At 36.2% G+C, this 24,348-nt stretch overlaps 1 protein-coding gene across 16 annotated transcripts in view; it reads left to right on the top strand.

Annotated features, from left to right (window-relative positions):
- CEP128 (centrosomal protein 128) overlaps positions 1-24,348 on the top strand; it is a 482,534-nt gene that overhangs the window by 207,250 nt on the left and 250,936 nt on the right. For all 16 annotated transcript variants that reach the window (NR_157142.2, XM_047431023.1, XM_011536493.3 and 13 more), the window contains one exon: positions 8,986-9,178. Coding sequence is in view for 15 of the 16 variants with exons in the window: in XM_047431023.1 (XP_047286979.1) it covers positions 8,986-9,178 (193 nt within the window). In the remaining variant the exon portion in view is untranslated. The remainder of the gene's footprint in view (positions 1-8,985; positions 9,179-24,348) is intronic.

Here is a 24,348-nt window from a genome sequence, read left to right as displayed (position 1 = left end):
TTCTTATACAAACATTTTCTTTCAAAATTGTTTCTAGAGGTTTGGGAAAAGAAGCATAGTAATTAAAGGAGCAAAATTCTGGGTCCTAATATTATTGCTACCTTTATAAGCTATAATCTTTTTATTTAAATTTTCTGTGGTCCTTGATTTTTAGCTTTGAGTCATTTCTTAGTGGCTTTAGTATATCATTACCCTAGGACTCAGTAGAGGATTCTCACAGATTAAAAAGTTCATCTTGGTAGTTTTACTAGATACTTATGAATATTCCCACCTAATTGGAAGCTATCAACTACTCAACTGCAAAGGTTTAAAAAATGCCATTACCTGGGTGCGGTGGCTCACACTTGTAATCCCAGCACTTTGAGAGGCCGAGGTGGATAGTTCATCTGAGGTTGGGAGTTCGAGACCAGCCTGACCAACATGACGAAACCACCATCTCTACTGAAAATACAAAAATTAGCCAGGCGTGGTAGCGGGAGCCTGTAATCCCAGCTACTTCGGTTGCTGAGGCAGGAGAATCGCTTCAACCCAGGAGGCAAAGGTTGTAGTGAGCCTAGATTGTTCCATTGCACTCCAGCCTGGGCGGCAGAGTGAGACTCCATCTCAAAAAAAAAAAAAAAAGACATATTTACAAATTTATTCTCTGTTTTGGTTTATTTAGCAATACTTGTTGATGTAGTTAAATAAATGATCCTATTATGTAATCTGTAAAATACTCCTGTGAGTGGTTAATAGAATGGTTTTTGCTCTGTGATTAATAGCCTTGTCAGCTAATTATTATTGGGAATTGTTAAAGTTATTTCTATATTGTGTTCCAAGCTGCTTCCTCAAGACACTTAATGAAGATGTTGGGTATTTATCCAACAAAGACAAATTCTCATAATTGATTATTGATTGATTAAATTTCCATAGGTTGATATTTTATTTTGTAGGATTAATAATATATTCTGCATACAAATTCAATTCATAAAAAAAATCTAACTATAGTTAGCTTTAAATTTTGTTTGACAATGGAATAAAGTCTTCGTAAGAATAGACTGAAGCCATAGGTCATATTATATTAATCTGTTCAGGCTGCCATAACGAAATACCACACAATGAATGACTTGAACAGTAATTTATTTTCTCACAGTTCTGGAGGCTGTAAGTTCAAGATCAAGGTGCCAGGTTTGGTTTCTGGTGAGACCTCTCTTCCTGGCTCATAGATGGCCACCTTCTCTTTGTGTGCTTATGTGACCTTCCTTCTGTGAGGCTGGAAGAGAAAGAGAGTTCTGCTATCTCTTCTTCTTATAAGGACAGGATTCCTGTCAGATAGAGTCCACTCTTATGACCTTATTTAACCTTAATTTCCTCCCTAAAGGCCCCATCTCCAAATACAGTCACACTTGGGGTGAGAGCTTCAACATATGAAGTCTGAGGGGACAGAATTCAATCCATAACACATATCAAACCTAATACTTTGTGAGGGATTTTTTGTTGTTGTTGTTATTGTTTTGTTTTTTCCCCAGAACCATTAGTATTATTGTTAGGACAAAACAGATTTATTGTTTCTCCATTACCATCTCTTAGGAGTAGCAGTGACCATAGGTAGTAATTACACAAAGGTGAAAGACTGGGATGGAGTAGGTGGAAAAGCATTGGAGAAAAGGCAACGTGAAGTGATTTTTTAAATTTGCAGTTAAATCACTGGGTTAGAAGAGATTACTGGAGGATCATGCTGGGACCGATTTTGTTTGGACCACATGGGTTATTAAAAATTGAATTGGTAGCAAACATTTGAAAACTCAGACAATTGCATAAAGACAATATCGAAGTTTTATGTGGGAAGCATCAGAAGATCTGATAAAAAAAAAAGTAGAGTTTCATTCTCATATGGCGGAAAACAGTTGGAGATGAGAAAAACCATGGACCTGACTACATTAGCAGGGGCAACTACACTATGATTTGACACGGTCCAGTCCATTCTTTATTCATTTCCAACATGGGGGAAAAGTGTTGCATTTTATTATTATGCTTGCACCGTTAATTTTCTTAGAGTAGATTTAAGAGTAACATATACATTTCCATATTTTCTGTCCACTTCTTTTATTGATGTTTTCTACCTTACGCTTATGATTACTCACATTTGCCATCAGTGATGCATACCAACCAGATTAAATCCTACTATGTTGTCTCTATTGACAGGAGGTTGAAAAACTGTCTTCTTTTTCACTCCTGTGGAGTCTGTGGTCAACTGTAAATGTCATATCTTTTATCAGTCCATGTTCATTTTACTATTTTTTAAAATGTATTCCTTCAGATTTATCTCTTTTAAATTTTATCCTCTGCTTATATATTTCTTTTGTTTGCCAAAGTTGTTTAATTTGTAATCTGCTAAAAGTTGATATTTTGCTATAGGCATGCAATGTATAATGATCACATCATTGTAAAAGGGATATCTATCACCTTAAGCACTTGTTTCTTATGTGTTTCAAATATTCCAATTATATTCTTTTAATTATTTAAAAATGCATGATAAATTATTGTTCATTGTAACCACCCTGTTGTACTATCAAATACTAGATATTACTCATTCTATATATACCCATTAACCATATGCACTGCCTCCCTCTCCCACTACCCTTCCCAGTCTCTAGTAACCATCATTCTACTTTCTATCTCAGTGAGTTCAATTGTTTTAATCTTTAGTTCCCAGAAATGAGTGAGACATGTGAAGTTCGTCTTCCTTTTTCTGGCTCATTTCACTTCACATAATGTCTCAAGTTCCATAAATGTTGTTGCAGATGACAGGATTCACCTTTTGTGTGGCTGAATAGTACTCCACTGTGTATATGCACCACATTTTCTTTATCCATTTGTCTGTCGATGGACAATTAGGTTGCATCCAAATCTTGGCCGTTGTGATTAGTGCCACAACAAATGTGGGAGCGCAGACATCGCTATCCTGATTTCCTTTCTTTTGGGTATATACCTAGCAACGGGATTGCTGGATTGTATGGTAGCTCTATTTTTAGTTTTTTGAGAAACCTCCATATGTTCTCCGAAGTGCTTGGGTTACCAGGCAGAGTCTTTTTTTCTCTTCCCTACTTTCCCTCAAAACAAACGCAGTGTTTCTCTCAGTGCTGAACTGCCTGGAGGTGGAGGAGGTTTGAAACAAGCACCTCTGTGTCCACAACCACTGGGACTGTGGTGGGGCAGACCTGAAGCCAGCACAGTACTGAGTCTCTCCCAGGGCTTATGGTGACTATTGTCTGACTACTCCTGATGTTTATTAAAGATCCAAGGGCTCTCTAGTCAGGTGAAGCCAGCCATGCTTGTGTGTTTCTCTTCTGGGCAACATGTTTTTTTCTGGCCTAGGGTGAGTGTAGAAATGCTCCCTGGGAGCTAGGGCCTGGAGTCAGGAACTTTAGGAGTCTACTTGGTGCTTTATTTTACTGTGGCTTGAGTCGGTACCCATGTTGAAAGACAAAGTCCCTTTTACTCTTCCCTCTCCTTTGGTTAAGGAGAAGGTGTATCTCTTTGTGCCCACCTCAGCTGAGAGTACACAGGGTAACACCTAAAGCCTGTCTCACAGTTTTGTAAGTTAGAAACTTGGCTATTATGGGTTATACGTCTTGACCATTACTGATTCCTCTCTCTACTTTAACCATAACATGTGAGGAAGTATCATATCTCAAAAATGTACACTTTGGTTCTTCCCTTTGCATTTTCACTTGCTTGGAGTACTGTAACAACCTCTTGATTTCCAGCCTTCAGCATGTGTTTCATACTCTACGTAGAAAACACTTTCTAGAGAACAGCCCAATTTGCTGCCTTGACTGTCATAGGAGGATGGTGGTATACCATCTTATATTTTTCCTGTATTCTTCGTTAGTGCTTCAGTAGAAAATTATAATAGAAAGTACATATTTTATCTGGCAAAGAGTTGACCCTGTTTCCTGATTTCTGTCCTATGGAAGCTTTTTATTGTTCTGTATTCACATGGAAGTTTCAAAGGGAGTATTGAGAAGCGAAGTAGGCTTTGTTAAATTTCTGCAATCATAATTGGAAGTGCACAGCCCAATTTAATTTGCAGATTTCCTACATTTAGCCAGTGACATCCAGACAAGACAGAGGCCTATAAATTGCGTAGCCAGGTCTCGTTTATTCATAGAGGTGTAATTTTAGCTTTGTTTTTCTGCCTTGACTTACTCTCTACCGTTTAACTAACAGCTTAATTGAGATATAATTCATATATCATACAATTCGTTAATTTAGAATGCACCATTTAATGCTTTTTAGTGTATTTACAGAATTGTGCAGTCATCACCACATTTAATTTGAGAACACTTTCATCACCTCAAGTAGAAAATCAGGACGCCTTAGCCATCACCTATAAATCCAACCACCAGTTCTAGTCTGCCACTAATCTTTCTGTCCCTGTAGATTTGTCTATTCAGGACATTTGAGATGGAGTCTTGCTCTGTTGCCTAGGCTGGAGCGCAATGGTGTGATTTTGGCTCACTGCAACCTCTGCCTCCTGGGTTCAAGCAATTCTCCTGCCTCAGCCTCCTGAGTAGCTGGAATTATAGGCGTGTTCCACCATGCCTGGCCAATTTTTGTGTTTTTAGTAGAGACAGGGTTTCATTATGTTGGTCAGGCTGGTCTCGAACTCCTGACCTTGTAATCCGCCCACCTCGGCCTCCCAAAGTGCTGGGATTACAGGCGTGAGCCATTGCCCCTGGCCATAAATATAATCATATAATATGTGGTCTTTTGTGATTGACTTCTTTCATTTAGCAGAATGTTTTCAAGTTTCATCCAAATTATGATACATCCATTTTAGCATGTATCATGACCTCACTTTTTTATGGCCAAATAATGTTTCATCGTTTGGATATACTCCACTTTTTAAATCTGTTCATCATTTGACGGAAATTTGGATTGTTTCAGTTTTTTGGCTGTTATTATAATGCTGCTATGAGTAATTTCTATCTGAGTTTTTGCATGTATATTTGTTTTTCATTTCTCTTAGATACTTACCTGGGAGTAGAACTGCTGGGTTATATGGTACCTCTATGTTTAACCCATAAAGTAACTGTCAGATTATTTTCTAAAGCAATTGCACTGCTGTGCATTCGCACTGGCAGTATGTCAGACTTCCAGTTTCTCCACATCTACACAAACAATTGTTATTATCTGTCTTTTTGATTTTAGCTACCCTGCTGGGTGTGAAGTAGAGTCTCACTGTGGTTTTGATTTACATTTTCCTGATGGCTAATGATGTTCAGCATCTTTTCATGTGCTTATTGGCTATTTATATATCTTCGTTGGAGAAATATCTATTTACATCCTTTGTACGTTTTAAAAATGGCATCATTTGTCTTTTTATTACTGACTTCTTTATGAATCTGACATGTAATTCCCTTATTAGACATTGAGTTGCAAATATTTTCTGCCACTTAGCAGGTTGTCTCTTCTTTTTGTTGGTAGTGGCCTTTAAAGCACAGCATTTTAATTTCAAAGAAGTTCAATTTGTCAGCTTTTTTCTTTGATGGCTTCTGCTTTTGGTGTTACACCTAGGAAGCTATTGCCAAGCCAAGGTCACAACGATTTATGCCTGTGTTTTCTTTCAATAATCTTATAGTTTCAGCTCTTTAACATTTAGATCTGTGATCCTTTTTGAATTAGTTTTTGTATATGGTGTGAAGTAGGGGTATAAATGAATTCTTTTGTATTTGTATATTTAGTAGTCCTAGCACCATTTGTTGGTAAGACTATTCTTTTCTCTATGAAATTGTTTTGGATCTTTTGTTGAAAATCAATTGACATTTATATATGGGTTTATTTCTAGACTCTCACTTCTGTTCCATCGGTCTGTATATCTGTCCTTATGCCAATACCACACCATCTTGACTACTGTAGCTTTGTAGTAAGCTTTGGAATGGATAAGTATGAATCCTCCAACTATATTCTTCTTTTCCAATATCTTTTTTTGGCTATTTTGGAAATTTGCCTTGAATTCCCATATGAAACATAGGATCAACTCATCTATTCCTTTAAAGAAGCCAGATGGGATTCTGAAAGGGATCCTGTTGAATCTGTAGATTAGGTGGGATGTATTGCTATTTTAATAATATTCGCTTTCAATCCATTTACGTAGGATATCTTCCCACTTAGTCTTCAGTTTTTTAAAAAGCATTTTGTAGTTTTTAAATATAAGTTTTGCAGTTTTATGTTTATCACTAAAGACTTCATTTGTTGATGCTATTGTAAATATGATTATCTTAATGTTATTTTTGGATTGCTCATTGCAAATATTAATATATAGAAATATAATTAATTTTTGTATTGATTTTATGTATTATAATATGCTGGACTCTTTTGTTCTAATAGATTTTTTTAATGGAATTACTAGGATTTTCCTGCACATAAGCCTGTTACCTCCAAATGGAGATATGTTCACTTCTTCCTTTTCAATCTGGATATTTTTTATTTCTTTTTATTTTTTGTATAATTGCCTTTTCATAACCCTCTAATACAATGTTAGGAGTGATGAGAGCTGTTATCCTTTTCTTGCTTCTGGTCTTAGTGAGAAAGCATTCAGACTTTTACTGTTAAGTATGATAATAGTTGTGGGTTTTCCATAGATATTTTAAAAATCATATTAAGGAGGTTCTCTTCTATTTGTAGTTTTTTGAGTGTCTTTATTATGAAGGAATGTTTGACTTTATTATATGCATTTTCTGTGTCTTTTGGTATAATCATATGATGTTTGTCCCTAATTGTATTAATATGGTATATTACATTAATGATTTTCCTATCTTAAACCTTGCATTCTTGGGACAACTTCCACTTGATCATTGTATTAGTTTGTTCTCACACTGTTACAAAGAACTACCTGAGACTGGGTAATTTATAAAGAAAAGAGGTTTAATTGACACACAGTTCTATAGGCTGTGCAGGAGGCTTGGTTGGGGAGGCCTCAGGAAACTTACAATCATGGTGGAAGGGTGAAAGGGAAGCAAGCATGTCTTGTCTTCACATGGCTGCAAGAGAGAGAGAGCAAAGGATGAAGTGCTACACACCTTTAAACGACCAGATCTCCTGAGAACTCACTGACTATCATGAGGACAGCAAGGGGGAAACTGCCCGCATGATCCAGTCACCTCCCACTGGGTCCCTCCCACAACGTTGGAAATTATAATTCGACATGAGATTTGGGTGGAGACACAGAGCCAAACCATATTAATCATGATGTTCATTTTATAGGTTGCTGGATTCCGTTTGCTAGTATTTTCTCGAGGATTTCAAGAAAATCTGTATTCATCAGGCATATTCATAAATACGGCTTTATTATAAGTGACCTGGGGAAATGGCAGTTGGGACCCCAGTATTCTCAGCCTGCTGTGCTTGGGGTAGGGTAACCATCCTATCAGTGGCACATTGGGGGAGCAAGGGATTCTCAACATCCTGCTGCACTTGGCCAGGATTTTAGCCTATGCAAATCAGAGCTGCAAGGCTGAAAAATCCTGGTGATCTGCCCATCCAGTATGCTATCACGTACCTTGACTGTGAACTTGAGAAAGAGAAAACCCTGTTTTCTTGGCAGTGTTTTTCTGAAATGAGGAGTGGAGCTTTTATCACACTGAGGGTAGAAGGAGGGAGTCAGTTATGCCTCAAGTGCCACTTTAATGAGGTTAAATAGAGTTTCTTGAATAAATGTTTCTTCATTTGCTGTATGGCTACAGGACAATATTTAGAAATGTTAATTTTTAAAAACAATATTTTTAGCACTTACGGTTATTTCACTGGGGACCATTTCTACAGAACTCTATATATCATCATTCCAGAAGAACTGTTATGATGGCCCCCTTTTGTTTTTGATGAGACTTTATATTAATAATTTTGATACAGGTTTTATCTTCAAAAGCATGATTTTCCTACAGACAGTACATTTCATATATAACTAGGAATTGGAGGGTAGCCTGACTTAGGAAGGTCCTAAGACTTGACTGAAATCCTGCTGTATTGAAGGTGAAAGAAATATTTCTTTTCCTATTCTTGTTTTAAATATCTAAATATTAAAGATAGGTGAGGGCTGGGTGTGGTCACTCATGTCAGTAGTTCTAGTACTTCGGGAGGCTGAGACAGGTGGATTTCTTGAGCTCAGGAGTTTGAGACCAGCCTGGGCAACATGGCGAAATCCCAACTCTACAAAAAATACAAAAAACAGTTAGCCAGACATGGTGGTGTGTACCTGTAGTCCCAGCTACTGAGGAGGCTGAGCAGGAGGATTGCTTGAGCCCAGGAAGTCAAGGCTACAGTGAGCCAAGAGCGTGCCACTGTACTCTATCCCGGGCGACAGAGTGAGATTATGTCTCGAAAAAAAAAAAAGAGTGAGAGAGAGAGAGAAAGAAAGAAAGAAAAAAAGGTAGGTGAGGTTAGAATCTGTGAAGTAGAGTTGCCAGAATTCACTTTCCTTGTGTCTTAGAAGCATAAACATTAACTCTATATCTTCTAGTCAATAAAGAATCTCTCCTCATGCCTAATTAGCTAGATCAGTGGGGATATGCATTTTTAGAAGTCATGCTAGGAATTTTATCTTTTAAAAAATTCTCTGAAGGAATACTTCTTTTATAAAAAGTCTGTAGTTCTATTCTGGGATGTATTTGTTTTTTAAATTCCTATACTAGACTGCCCTGTATATCAAATCAGAGGATTACCCATAATATTATTGAAAGTTTAATAGGCCAAACTTTGTCTTTCTAAAGATGACACAAAATATTTTTTAAAAATCTACGAATACCATGGCTTAATTTCTGAACCAGCTTTTACTTGCTGTAGACCATTATGCAAATTAAACATGGATATTTTAAAATTTTGCAAAAATTTGGTAATTATCTATATTTGTTCAAATTATGTTACTTATTTTTTTCTTCATGTTTTGAAATGCTGCTCTTTTCTGAGTTTCTTTAACCATTAGATATAAATGTTATTTTTTAGACTAAACTTCAGTGGCTCTGTGAGGAACTGAAAGAGAGAGAAAACAGAGAGAAAAATCTGCGACACCAGCTGATGCTCTGCAGACAACAACTCAGGAATTTGACTGAAAACAAGGAATCTGAGTTGCAGTGTCTCTTTCAACAGATAGAAAGGCAGGAGCAGCTTCTGGATGAAATACATCGTGAGAAGAGAGGTGTGTGTTAGTTGTTCTTTCATTTTTCTTTGTTTATATTTATGGAATCCTAATCCTAGGATTGGAAAAAAACCTACTTCTGTTGCATCCCCTTTGGACTATTTCCAAGCCCATCTCCTTTTCTTGTCTTTGTCTTCTTATCTTTCTTCATTTCTGGGACGAGAAGAGAAAATTCTTCAGCCACAGCATTCCTCCTGTGTATATGATAACTGCATTTACTGGCTGTGTGCAGGAATTAATTGATAAGACATACTGCTTCTGTCTTAGTAAAATGCTGATGTTTACATTTACTTCAGTAAAATACGTCTTAGTTCATTCAATACATATTTTGTGCCCATTTTCAAGTACACACTATTCTAGGTACAGAGGATATATCAGTGAATAAAGCAGGGGGAGAAAAAAACCCTACCCTTATTTAGCTTATGTTTTATTGGGTGGAGATATACATATTACAAATAGATACATTATATAATATATTAGAACGTTGTAATCATAGTGGTGGAAACAGTAGAGTAAGGGGAATTTGGCTTCACATATTTTGGAGCTCTGTTATTAAATTCTTAGCATTGATTATGGCAATGTGTCCAGTTAGAGGCCTATTGATATGTTCTCTATAAAAGGAAAAGAGGGACTGAAGAAGCACCTTGGTAGTGGAATTGGAAAACAGGCAACAAATGCAAAAGACGTTGTGGAGGACCAGCCCAAGGTGAGGAAGAGAGAGGACTCACAGGAGATTCGAAGGTCTCAGTGGTTTTGCCATTGTGAGAAAGAGGAAAGTCAGGAACTAGTTGATTTAGTGGGAGAAAAAGAGGGTATGCATTTTTACCTAATTCTTAAAATCAAAAATGTAAGAAAAAAGAAGTATTGTGAAGGCCCAAACTTTTGTCACAAGAGATATTTTAATCTTTTGTCTGGTGTGTGAAAAATATTGTAACAGTACTGCCTGGTGGATTTGGACGTAATGAACACTTTAATCTGCTACCAAGCAAATGCTGTTAAAGTTGAGGACTTATAAATAATTACTAGAAATATAAGCAACATGCTCTTGGTAAAAAGAGTTTTGATTACTTCTGCTGAGGTCCCTGTGGGGACATTTTTAGGGCATGTCACTTTATTTAGATCTTAAAAACAAAGCAAGATTTCCATAAGGAAAATACGAGGAAGAAAGATTTTCTGCAGAATTTATCTGCGTAGTGATTTAAACTTTTTTTTTTTTATAATGGTACACATAGAGAAGGTGAAAGGCAGCGAAACTACTGATTAAGTTTAGATATTTCTGACACATCAAAGTTAATTGTTAATACTAATTTATATGTGATTCTCTTTACCATCTTAGAAACTTACCTATTAAGTAGAACAAAGTTAACCTATCTATAAGTGAAATATGACAGATAAACTTTCTGTTTGCTAGAATTAATGCCATCTCAGAGTTAATATTTTTTGGTGTGATTTAATGTCATAGTAAGTGACATTTGCCAGGTTAACTGAGGCCCTGGGAGAAGGAGTTTCCATCACTGAGTGCTGCTATATTCATAGATCCATGTTGTCATACACTTTTGGGGTATTCTGGGCCTGTAAGTCTGGAAATTTGGAATTTGGAAATTCCTGTAGGAGAGGAAATTTATTAAGGGGTTAATGTCAGGAACCTCTTAGAAGTTTAGTAATTATTCACTGAGAAATTCTTCAGTTATAAGGGGTAACAAAGACAAGAGTAAAGAGCTGCAAACTTCAGCTGGGAGGATTTAGGTATAAGAATATGTTGAAACTATCAGGTTTACTAAAACCTAAAATTTATGTGGAAATTGCAAAGAATTTTTCAAAAGTTTTCAGAAGGAGAGACATTTCTACAGTGTAGTTGTATTCTTGCTGTACAAAATGCTAGTGAATATGAACAAATATAGAAGGCAATTTTCTTATTTTTTCCTGAAACTGAAATAGTGACTCTTTTTTAAACAGGTGACTGATCTTGCTTTCCAGGCACTGGGTGGTTGTAGTTTTGGCTATTATGTGTACATGGCTTTCCTTCTTGGAATAATTAGAAATTGACATGGCCTGAAATTCCTTTACCTTAAAGATGAAATTTGATTTACTTAGTATTTCCAGTTTGGGGTAGGTGCTATACTCTTCTGGATTTGTTTTATTAGGTGGGACCTTCACCAATTCCTCACTGCCCCCATGCTGTGAGTACAATGCATAGAAAATAGTCATTCCCAGCAGCGTGTACTGTACCAAGGCTTCCTGAATCTGTCCCTTGCTGTCATGTGTCATTTGTTAGAAGACACATCTAAGGGTGAAATAAGCCATTGTCAAAGTTTCTTTGTTAGGGAGTTATCTTTTCTGAATAGTTATAAAAGGGAAAGTACTACAGGTAAGAGGATGTAGAAAAAAGAAAATGGTCTTCCAGCTCTTCAGAAAATAATGCCTTTGCAGCAGAGAACAAATGCTCAGATTATTTTTGGTTAACACCTGTGTCTTAGCCAAAAAGTAGACAGTGAAAGAAATATGCATCATTTCTATCTATCTGTCTGTCTATCTATCTATCTATCTATCTATCTATCTATCTATCTATCTATCTATCTAGATATAAATATGAATCTGTGTGTGTGTGTGTGTGTGTGTGTGTGTATGTGTATATACATTTTACTAGTTTTAAGTTTCACCCTAGTAATGGCTGTGGGTGTGGCCTGTCCTGGCCCAAAGATACTTTATTTCTTGCCTTAATGAATTTTTGACAGGCACACAATTGAGAAATGTGTTTTGTTTTATGTATCACCTAGCATAGAGTTTCTATGAAGGCAGTGATTTTTTAATGTTTTGCTGAATGCTGTGTCTCCAATGCCTAGAAAGAGCGTGGTGCACAGTAGACGTGTGAAATATTTGTTGAACAACTGAATGAATGAGGGAAGTAATGAAAGAACACTAAAGGAGCACAGTTAATAGGGGAGCCATAATACTAATATTTAGTGAAAAAAAAAATCACTCTTCCAAAAGAAAGCATAGTTTTTCCCCAAAGTTTAGATTTAGAAAGACAGAGATGATATCTTGCCATTGGCCCAAATTTATTTATTTTTCCCTGTTTTGAAATTTATTGGATACTTATTAAACTCTGAATAACCAAAATAAAAATCAGCAAATATTTGGCAGAAGTTGATTAAGTAATTTAATTAGAGTGGTTTACATATTGTTTATGACACTCTGGAATTAGGTAACAGTATTTGTCTTTTCTAATATTTCAGTTATGTATTACATTTTATGGTAGCAATATTTAAATAGTTTATATTTTATTCATTTCGTGACGGTATCCTCTAAGAGCTTCCTGATTCATTTAGGGACACAATAACATTGTTAGTATTAATTCTAGCCCTATTGTATACTATGATTTAACTCTCTAGTGTAACGTGAAAAAAATTCAAAATACCAAAATATCAAAAAAAAAGAATATTAAAACTTTGTGTCTAAAATAGTCTCAGTCTTTAAGAGTAGAATGACTATAACTTTTAGAGTATGATTCTGTATGTACTACTAGTCATAGAAAAGCTTGAGCCTGATTATGTATGTTGAGTAGAAGGGGCTGTTGATGGGAGAGGTCGAACAGGTGGAAGTTTAGCTGGTATAGCAGGATCCTGGAAGATACGGGTGGATGAGGTCAAAAGTAAAGGTAGAGAAGTGAATGTTGGAAAGAACAAGGGCAAAAGAGTTAGGGATTTCTTCTTTTAAGATCTTTTTAGTGTTTTGAATATGCTAGTATATTTGGCAGATTCACTTATCACAATAATTTTTGTAGTGGTTTTCTTATTTTGATGGGTAGCTTCTTAGCATCTGTAATTGGGTCTAATCTTTGTGTTATATAAGCTCAAAAAAAAGGATGAACATATACATAGTCTAGAAGTAGGCAGTAGAGGAAAGATACATTAGCTCCCTATCCCTTGTATATGCTCAAAGAAAGGATGAGTATTTGGAGAAAAGGAGAGAAGGGATGAGAAGTAGCCACTGGATTTGCAATGTAAAACTTTGGCATGACCTGCGTTGGTAGAAGTCTTAGGAGTGGTTTAAGCCAGATTGCCAAATCAGTATTTTTGGCAACCTGCTTCCAAAGCATAAAGCTTGTCATATGATGTATATCCAAAGCATTAGAGCCACCTTAGTGGCGAATCTGGCACACTATTCACTGATTATTCTGGCCATATACATGGCTGTGAGCATAAAGAGATGCAGTAGACTCCCCTTATGTGTGGAGACTTAGGCACCCTAGTGGATGCCTGAAACTGCAGGTAGTACCAATCCCTATATGAACTGTTTTTTCCTATACATACAAACCTATGATAAAGCTTAATTTATAAATTATAAACAATAAAACATTAATAATAATTAATAAAATAGAACAATTATAACAATATAGTATAATAAAAGTTACTCGAATGTGATCTCTGTCACTAGGTGTCTTATTATACTGTACTTACCTATTTTCGGACTGCAGTTGACAGGCAGTGATTGAAACCAAATTGAAACTGTATGACTTAGATTTTTTCTATCTAAAAATAGGGGGGAGACTACTGTATGACTTAGATTTTTTCTATCTAAAAATCTGATTTTAATCTAATGTGATAGATTTTGGATCTGTCAATAGTGTTCTCAACTTTTTAATGGTTTATTCCTTTGGTTTCATCATTCCCAGTGTTCTGAGAAACTTTTCAGCTGGTTTTTCTGCTTTTCCCTGCTCATCCTTCGAATTTCTATGCTACTTGTACAGTTGGTGGTCAATTGCTGTTAACAGAGGATAATGTCTTATAATTTATTTGTGGGACAGAAATAACGGAGGGACTCTCGAACTGTAGGTATCTTTTCTAACATGTAGTTTAGACTTTATGTTGTGCTTATACATTATTTATATATTGGTTTACTTTTCTAGTCATCCAGTCACTCATTCGTCTATCACTTATTCTGCAAATCATTTCACAGTTTTTCAGATTTGTCTTACTGAAGAAATAATTTAGAATCATGATATTCATAGAAGTGTCCTTTAGTCCCAAAACAGGAAGAAGCAAGTTTTTTCTATTCCATATTGGAGTGTAATATTTAAACATTCTGAAGTAACTTATGGGATGATTTCTAAATGTAATATCATTTATTTATTTGGACTCTGGTTAATTTTTTAAAATTGAATTTATCATCGGATTGATTGATTGAGATGGGGTCTTGCTCTGTCACCCAGGCTGGAGTGCAGTGGCGCCATCTTGGCTCACTGCGGCCTTGACCCCTCAGGCTCAAGCAGTCCTCCCATCTCAGACTCCTGAGTAGCTGGGATTACAGGTGCATGCCACCATGCCTGGCTAATGTTTTTATTTTTTAATTTTTGTATAGAGATGAGGTCTTGCTAGGTTACCCAGGCTGGTCTCAAACTCCTGGACTTAAATAATCCTAGACCTTGTTTTCCTGAGTTACTGGGATTACAGGCATGAAACTGTGCACCTGGCCTTAGCATCTTATTTTTACATTGTGACCAGCTTGTTCAGAAGTTCAATGGTGTAGATCATTAGAGATAATTAAAATAAGTGATTTTAATTGATAAATTGAGAACATTATTAAAACTCATCAGTTATTTAACATGAAGTTACCCCTTCTTTTATTTTCTTGTTGCTTTCTTTATAATTTTTTTTCTTTTTTCTTTTTTCAGACAGAGTCTTGCTCTGTCGCCCAGGCTGGAGTGTGGTGGCACAATCTTGGCTCACTGTAACCTCCGCCTTCTAGGTTCAAGCAATTCTCCTGCCTCAGCCTCCCGAGTAGCTGGGACTACAGGTGTGTGCCACCACGCCTGGCTAATTTTTGTATTATTAGAAGAGAAGGAGTTTCACCATACTGGCCGGGCTGGTCTTGAATGCCTGACCTTGTGATCCACCCGCCTCGGCCTCCCAAAGTGCTGGGATTACAGGCATGAGCCACTGCACCCAGCCTATAATTGTTTTTAACAACCAATTGAGAAAGAATAGTTTTTAAAAAATTATGCCCGCTCTTAGAGTCAAATCATAATTTTTTAAGAAATATGTTTTATTCTTAGTTTCTTTTGCTTATAGATGTTTCATTACAGTAATTTTGTTTCTCATATGTTTTCTGTTATGAATTGAAATCCAGCCTAGGTCAACAGGGATTGAAGTTAAACTACATTGGCTAAATATTCCTAGAACCAGAATTAAATTAACGATATGCCTAGGGATGCTATACACAGATCTGTGCAGATGTCAACTGTGATTGAATGCGAAATCAACATTCATGTCTTTAGTCAGTAAATGGGCAGTGGAAACTTATGATTCATTATTCTTTAGTTAACTGTAAATATCTCTGAGCCCTCCCTTTTTCACCTCTGTGTAACGGGCCTAAAATTTATAACACTTCTATTGGATGAACTTAATTTTAGAGATAAAGATTTTCAATATTTCCAGTAATGTATTCAGTTGGCAACAGACCAGTATTGATTGAGTGGGGAGTTTAAATATTTAAAGTTTGTATTTTTCCTCTTCCAAAATATTGAGGGGAGAGACAGTGTGTGTGTGTGTGTGTATGTGTGTGTATTCTGAAATATATTCTGGAAAATTCAGAAATGTTAAATATATTATGTGAATTCTTAGATTTTCTTGTTTCTTCACTTTATAGATTATTTGTGTAGCAAAGCTGTTCTTCCTTAAACTTGAATCATGAGCACACTTAGGGAGATGAGTAAGGCAAAGCTCCTTGTGCTAAAATAGATTCGATTTGAGCTTTTAGGTTACTAAGTAGCTTTCATTAAATTCAAAGCATATATTTGCTGTGTTTTTTTTTTTTTAAAACCTTATATTAGAGCTACCTTAAAACAAATGCAGATGGAAACTGTGTACATTTTGACTATTTGTTGTTGCAAATATGGATTTCTGGGAGGTCGTTTCTGCTTTGATGGTGTGTTGTAATGAGTACTATCTGTCTTTTCTATAATGTTGCATACAAAATGATAATGCCTGCCTATTCCCTCCCTCCTCTGCCAAAAGATGTCCACAACCTAACAGGGTTGGATACTGGGTTGAATCTGTGAATATGTTACCTTACATGGCAAAAGGGATTTTATAGCTGGAAAAAATTAAGGTTCTAGAGATGAGATTATCCTGTATTATCTGGGACACAATATAATCACGTGGTCCTTAAAAGTGAAAGAGGGAAGCAGAGTAGGATTCAATATGAGAAAGACTCAGCTGAAGATTGCTTATTGAAGATGGAAGAGGGGGACCATGAACCAAGGGATATGAGCAGCCTCTAGATCCTGGAAAAGACAAGGAAATGGATTCTTCCCCAGAGCCTCCAGAAAGGAAGGTACCCTTGCTAACACTTGATTTAGCCCAGTAAGACGTATTGAACTTCTAACGGACAGAACTGTAACATAATAAATTTGCATCATTTTAAGGCACTAAGTTTGTGGGAATTTGTTACAGCATCTATGAAAAACTAATATACCAATAAAATAATGAAATTAGAGATCTGTAATAGGTTCTCTGCTACTTGATTCCCTGTATATCAAGAAATTTTCCAGCCTGCTTGACCCTCTTTGGAAATGTGCACCCACTTTTGGACACTTATCAGTAAATTAGGAATATTCATAAATTACTTTTACTGTATTAACCTTGAAATATATTGAGATAGTTCTGGAAATGTGCGAAACGTGGTATTTTCAAAATGAGTATGATTTCCTTATGCCTAGGTATACGTATTTGATATTCTTTCTTCAAATATACTATGAAAATTCAAAGAAGTTACATGGATTATGAGTGAACCCGAAATGGAGACAGTCCTTATTGGCTTAGGCTGTTGTAAGGCCCTTGATATTACGTAGTCATATTTTCAAATTTTATCCTTTTATTTTGACTTGTACTATAGTGTTAAAATCTGTACTATAGTGTTAAAATGGACATCGATGGAAATCTAAAAATCACAGGAAAAAAAATAAGAAACAGAGAAATAGTGTCCTAGGCACCAAGAAGAAGTTGTTTTGGTTTATCACTTTATTTAGCTCTCAGTTTTCTGACATCTGGGAGGGATACCTGTTAGGTCATATGGTTTGTATTATCTTAAATGGAACACAGAAACTGCTTGGGAGAAGCAAACTTATTTTGAAAACTAAATTCAAGAGGAATGTATTCTCTTGAATGTAATGTAATGAATAGTGTTTTCAGTTACTGTTTTTCCTTTTTTTTTTTTTTTTTTTTTTTGAGATGGGGTCTTGATATGTCACCAGGCTGGAGTGCAGTGGTGCGATCTCAGCTCATTGCAACCTCTGCCTCCTGGGTTTAAGTGATTCTCTTGCCTCAGCCTCCCAAGTAGCTGGGATTACAGGTGTGTACCACCATACCCAGTTAAGTTTTGTATTTTTAGTAGAGATGGGGTTTTACCATGTTGGCCAGGATGGTCTCGATCTCTTGACCTCATGATCTGCCCGCCTCGGCCTCCCAAAGTGCTGGGATTACAGGTGTGAGCCACCGTGCCCAGCCCTCAGTTATTGTTTTAAACAGTAATAACATCTAACATTTATTGCTATGTGCCAGACACTGTTTAAGTGCTTTAAGTAATTTATAATTTTATTTAATTCCTAGGTAGGTACTATCATCCAGCCTAAAAAAAAAAGTCAGGGTGTCATTTCTTAGCAATAATGCAGAGTAACTAGGGACATATGGCTTTTGTGGACCCTAAAGACTTTCGCTTTTGTGGGCCCCTTCCTCCCTTAAAAAATTAAACTTTTGATTATGTTAGTATGAAGACACAATGCAGGCTAGTTTTATTATTCTGTATTCATTATTATATTCTTTTTTCCTGTTTAGAACATTTTCATGTTGGCCATCGACACTGTGTCTACTAGAGTAGTTGTCCTTTGTAGCAGTATAGATTATGCTCTAAGAGTATATGGAGGATCTAACTTCACAGATTATGGGTGAGGGAGATGTTGAAGTCAGGGTTTCCTTAGAAAGTGATGCCTGACCTTTAGCCATGTAAGGGGTGATGAGCATAGCCATTCCAGCAGAGGGAACAGCATTTATGAAGCGTTGAAGTGGGAAAGAACTTGGCTGAAACATGAAATAAGGGAACTAAAGGGCAAACAAAAATATTGTTACTGCACTTAGTAAATTTAATAAAATTATCTATGTCCTCTAACAGACTGAATTTTCAGATGCCTAGTGTACCTTTAGTGGGTTCTAAACTTCAATTTATGATTGAATTTTAAGGATTTGAAGTTTGATTATTCTTTGTTATTGATTACACTGGAGTCCAGAATGGTTTACATAATAGATGTAGTTGCTGAAAATAAACATATGCATGTCATGAAATATAAAATGGAAATATTTAAAAATACAGGACATCAACATATTCTATGTAAAACTTATATATGCCTTATAGCCATGAAATTTCCATTTGAATCTTTAGGGAATTTTTAAAACATTTATTAATTTGAAAGTTTTCCTGTAAGCATTTAAAATCTCTCTTATATTTATGATTTGAAAAAAAGATTACATTCTCCCATTTCCTTGTCCACTACAACTGGTGACTTTACAAAGTTTTTCTTAGCTGTTTGTCATATATTCATTCCTCTCTTTCTGTTTAGACCACCTGTATTAGTCTGGGTTCTCCAGAAACAGTAGCAATAGGGTGTGTTTCTATGTATGTTCACAGACACACAAATACACACACACACACACACACACACACACACACACACACACACACGACCCATGTGGTTATGAAGACTGAGAAGTCCCAAGATCTATGGTCAGCAAGCCAGAGACCCAAGAGCACCTATGGTATAGTTCCAGTCTTAGTCCAGTGCTATAAGAACCAAGACAGGTGATGGTATAAGTTCCAGTCTGAGTTCAAGCTTAAGGCAAGAGAGAATTGATGTCCTAGTTTGAAGACGTTCATGCAGAGGGAGAGTGATTTTTGCTCAGTGTTTTTGCTCTGTTGGGACCTTCAGTGGATTAGATGAGGCCCACTCATATTGTGGAGGCAATATGCTTTTTTTCGGTCTACTGATTCAAATGTTAATCTCATTTAGAAACACCCTCACAGACGTACTCCAAATTTTAACCAAATATCTGGGCACCCTGTGGCTCAGTCAAGTTGACATATAAAATTAACCTTTATACCACCTTTGTCTTATTTAGCTCTTTATTGCTTCATACTTACAAGGGTTACAGAAGCATCTTACTTGCATGATCTTCCTAACCTGTAGTCTGTGTCTTCTGCTGGACTTGTCCTCACCTATATGCCTGCTAAAGTCCAACACAGATTATTTTTCCAGGCAGGAACACTCTTGTGGGTGTTTCATGGTCACACTGTGCCCTGGGCTCCAGCTATTTGTTTCTGCATTCTTTAATCTGCTGTTTAGTAAAGCATTTGGTAAGAGTGACATCTTACAGAAATAACCTCGAATACTCTCAAATTAATACAAAAAAGTAAATCACCGATTTCGGTTTTGTGTTTTTTGTGATAAATTACTTACAACACATCCACAATTGACCTCTACCTAACAGGTTTTATTGGAGAAACCACACACACACACACACACACACACACACACACACACACACACACACACCTGCTTAATCAGTTCTGCCAGATGAATCTTCATTTAACACAGCTTTGATCCCATGACTCTCCAGCTTAGAAACCTCAGTGGTTTTCCCACTGCTAAACAAATAAAGTTCAATTTTGTTACAAAAGTCCTACCATTTTTTTCCTCTTCTCTTTCTATGTAAACTCTAGCCCTTTTTATCATGTTTGCTAGTGCAATTTTTTTGTTTTACCACTCCATTGCAGTTAAAACTTTCAGGTAGGATTCCGTGACATTTGCCACTTATTGCTGTTTCCTCTGGTTATCTGCATATATATTATTTAATACTAGGTTTTAATCTCTTGTTTCCTCATTGCATCTGGTACCATGTTTTATATTTAACAGAAAGTAAACATGTAATGGATGTTTGTGTATGGGGGCAGGTGGATAGATGGGTGGATGGATAAATGGATGGCACAGATTTCCCTCCTACCTCTTTTTTTTCCATTTATTATGGTATCTTCAACAGAAGCTACACTCCCCTATAATTTCTAACTACACACTTAGGTCTGTTCTTTCAATCAAAAAGAAAACATAGCCTTATTGATTTATTCTTATTTCTGCTTCTTCAAAACACAAGACCAAATATGAAGAATAACTCCAAATTATCACCAAACTAGTCTGATAATGTTTATTAGCTTAGCTGTCTTCAGTGGATTTTTTGAAACTAGTATATTTGGCAACAAAAGAATCTTTTCCCTTTTTATCTGTCCAGTGTAAAGCCCTTGAAGTTCTCCCTCATAGTATTTACCGAGATTTTGATGTGCATGCTCTCCTTCGTAGATCAGATAAACAGTTCCATCACATCAACCATGAGAAATTATAGATTTGCTTTTTTTCCCCTATTGAGACTATTGACCTTGTTGTTCCTGTATTTAAAAGTAATTTTTTAGTTACATCACATTTTGACAAGGTCGCTACCCACAGTCCTATACAAGTGACATTAGATCTTAATGTTCAACTACTTACTTCATTCCTTGAGATGACCATTAGGGAAATGAAGGAACCTAATATTTCTTGAGGGTTTGGTAATGTGCAGGTTTTAAATGTATTATCTTATGTAACTCTTAAAATAAACTTCTGAGGTTATTAATCCCATTTAACAGTTGAGGCAGCTTAGGCTGGGAGGGAAGTGGGGGCAGGTTATTTCTCCAGGATTGACAGGCAGTTACAGATGGGAGCAGACTTTGTGAAACTCGATTTTGTGTTTGCACTGCTATATAGCATATCAAAATAAACCAGCAATACTCTGTCAACCTCAATGAGCCTTCTAAATTGAAACCAACCTGGCTTTCCTCACTTTGTTGGGACCTCTTCCCTGAACTTTTAAAGAGATCAAGTTTTTTTGTTAAGAATGTTTGAAAGAAAATAGAATTGTCAAAATTTCAAAGTCTTTAGGCTGTCTTAATGACTATACCATTAGAAATGCTTATCCAGAAACAATAGTTTTACTGTTAGACATTAACTCCTTTGTTGTGATAGCTGTAATATTTCTAAAATTTTCTTTCACATCATTTGATAACCTATAATTTTTTGAATAGCTCACAGGAACATCAAGCCTCAAGGCCCAATTAATGAATTTAATTATAATATTATTGGATGCAACCTTTCTCTCCCATAAAGAGGAAACTAAGATCAAACCTTTCATTTCTTGTGCCTCCACTATGAAAGTGATAACTACTTTCTAACCAGTCACTCAAGACCATACCTTTCTATTGTTTTTGAAATTCACAGTGATTAATGGACACTGTAGTTTTCAAAAGCACAAATTAGTCTTTGTAGTCATCTACATAAATTCCACGAAACAACTATTTCCAAGAACTATTCCATCTGACTAACTTACACTTTTGTGGTCATGAAATATTTGTCTCTCTACAAAGCTTTCAAAGTTCACTGGGGCCAGAAGAGGTATACATATAATTTATGATCCACAGTTTCTTCCTCCTTTTCCCTGTTAAAACAGTCATGTCTCCAGCTAGAAGTTCACCTGGGTCTGTCAATGGTACAGGAGTTGCCCTTACGTTAAACATTTCTCTTTACCCTCTTCCATTCTGAGTATAGAATGACCCAATATAAGTTAACTAAGAAGCACTTTCAGTCTTGAGAAGAGAGATATAAATTACAGTTGGGAAGATGTAGCTAAGGTGTAAGAATGCATACTTTGAAACTATGAGGTTAATAGACAGTCAAATGTTTATGACAGTTGGAAGGATTCCTTTCTTAAAAGATATTTAGAAGGGGAGACCTCTATATAGTATGATTTCGTTGCAATGAAATGCCAATGATTATGAACAAATACAGAAATTAATTTTCTTATTTTTTCTTAAGGTGCAATTGTAAGCTCATATTGAAATAAGAGACTGCTTTTATTTTCCAAGCCTGCTGTGACTATGGCTATTCAATGTGTACACTCCAAAGAGGTATATATCTAAGTAATACCATCTCTTATTCCACATCAGTGAGGCCTCTGTTGGGTACTCGTTAATATTTCTGTCTTTGTTCATGCTGAGTTTAGCTTGACAGTTCAAGGAAAAGAAAATGGCTGCAGTATGTACTGTGTCTTCTGAGATATTCCCTAAACACACCAATCCTCATAAATATTTCACCAAATGTGTTTATCATAATGGTGTTTGTTAAGGGAGGAAAGGAGAAGTAAATGTAATTTCAATTAAATACCTATCTTCAAGCAAATATTCTTCATGCAAAATTTGGTGATACCTTCTCCTGCAAGAATGGCCATAATTAAAAAATCAAAAAGAAAATAGATGTTGGCACGGATGTGATGAAAAGAGAACACTTTTATACTGCTGGTGGGAATGTAAACTAGTACAACCACAATAAAAAACAATACGGATATTCCCTAAAGAACTAGAAGTAGATTTACCATTTGATCTAGCAGTCTCACTACGGGGCATCTACCCAGAGGGAATTTATGAAGATTATGAAATTATATGAAAAAAGACTCTTGCACATGCATGTTTATAGCAGCACAATTTGCAATTGCAAAAATGTAGAACCAGCCCAAATACCCACCAATCAACGAGTGGATAAGGAAAATGTGGTATATATATATATGTATACCATAGAATACTACTCAACCATAAAAAGCAATGAAATAATGGCATTCACAGCAACCCTGGATGGTGTTGGAGACCATTATTCTAAGTGAAGTAACTCAGGAATGGAAAAGCAAACATTGTATGTTCTCACTTATAAGTGGGAGCCAAACTATGAGGACACAAAGGCATAAGAATGATACAGTGGACTTTGGGGACTTGGGGGGAAGCATGGGAGGGGGGTGAGGGATAAAAGACTAAACACTGGGTAAACACACACACACACACACACACACACACACACACACACACACACACACACACACACACACACACACACACCCCCACCAGCCCAGCCTGGGACTAGGGCAGAACTTGCTGTTCCCAGTTAAAGGGCAGCAAAAGGAGATTCTGATTGCCTCAGTGATGCGTTTAACCAAAAGGGCTCAGCGTGAACCTGCAGATTCTGTGACTCCGCGTTGGCAGCATGGAAGTGACAAAACTGTTAAAAGAGGAAAAATATAGCTATTTAATATGTGGTTACATCTAGTTAGAAAATGCAACTTTGGTCTAGTATATTTATAATGTTCTACAATGTTGATATCTGCATACATAGTTATTACTGCTACAAATGATCACTTTTTTGGTCCTTCTCTTAATCCAGACAGAGACATAATCTATTAAGAGAGAATAAAAAAGTTTTGGCTGAAATACGTTAACAATAAGAATCAATAAATAAGAATTTGGAATATCTTCCAACTTCTCAGGTTCAAATTAAATAAAAATGCTTTTTACAGAGATCCCATAGCAATGCATACCCTTTTCCTCCTCCTTTTGGAATTTGTGGAGCAAACATTTAAAATGTACTTTTTTTTTTCTTTTTCAACTTTTAGGTTCAGGGGTACATGTGCAGATTTGTTATATGACTAAATAGCGTGCCACTGGGGTTTAGTATACAAATGATTTCATTACTATGATAGTGAACATAGTATCCAATATGTAGTTTTTCCATCCTCACCCCTCTCCCATCCTCCACCCTCATGTAGGCCTCAGTGTCTACTGTTGCCCATCTTTGTGTCCATGTGTACTCATGTTCAGGTCTCACTAATAAGTGGGAACATGTGATATTTGGTTTTGTGTTCCCGAATTAATTATCTTAGGATAATTTAGGATTACAGCCTCTAGCTGCATACATGTTGCTGCAAAGGACATGATTTCATTCCTTCTTATGGCTGCATAGTATTCCATGGTGTATACGTATCACATTTTTTTTTGATCCAGTCCACCACTGATGTGTATCTAGGTTGATTCCATGTCTACTATTGTAAATAGTGCTGCAGTGAACATACGTATGCATGTGTCTTTTGGTAGAATAATTTATATTCCTTTGGGTATGTACCCAGTAATGGGATTGCTGTGTTGAATGGTAGTTTTAAGTTTTTTTAGAAATTGCCTGCTTACCACAGTGGCTGAACTAATTGATATTCCCACCAGCA

This window comes from Homo sapiens, chromosome 14, assembly GCF_000001405.40.
Source record: "Homo sapiens chromosome 14, GRCh38.p14 Primary Assembly".
Classification (NCBI taxonomy): Eukaryota; Metazoa; Chordata; class Mammalia; order Primates; family Hominidae; genus Homo; species Homo sapiens.
The sequence above is the reverse complement of the archived record's forward strand: the minus strand, read 5'-3'. Positions and strand labels throughout refer to the sequence as shown.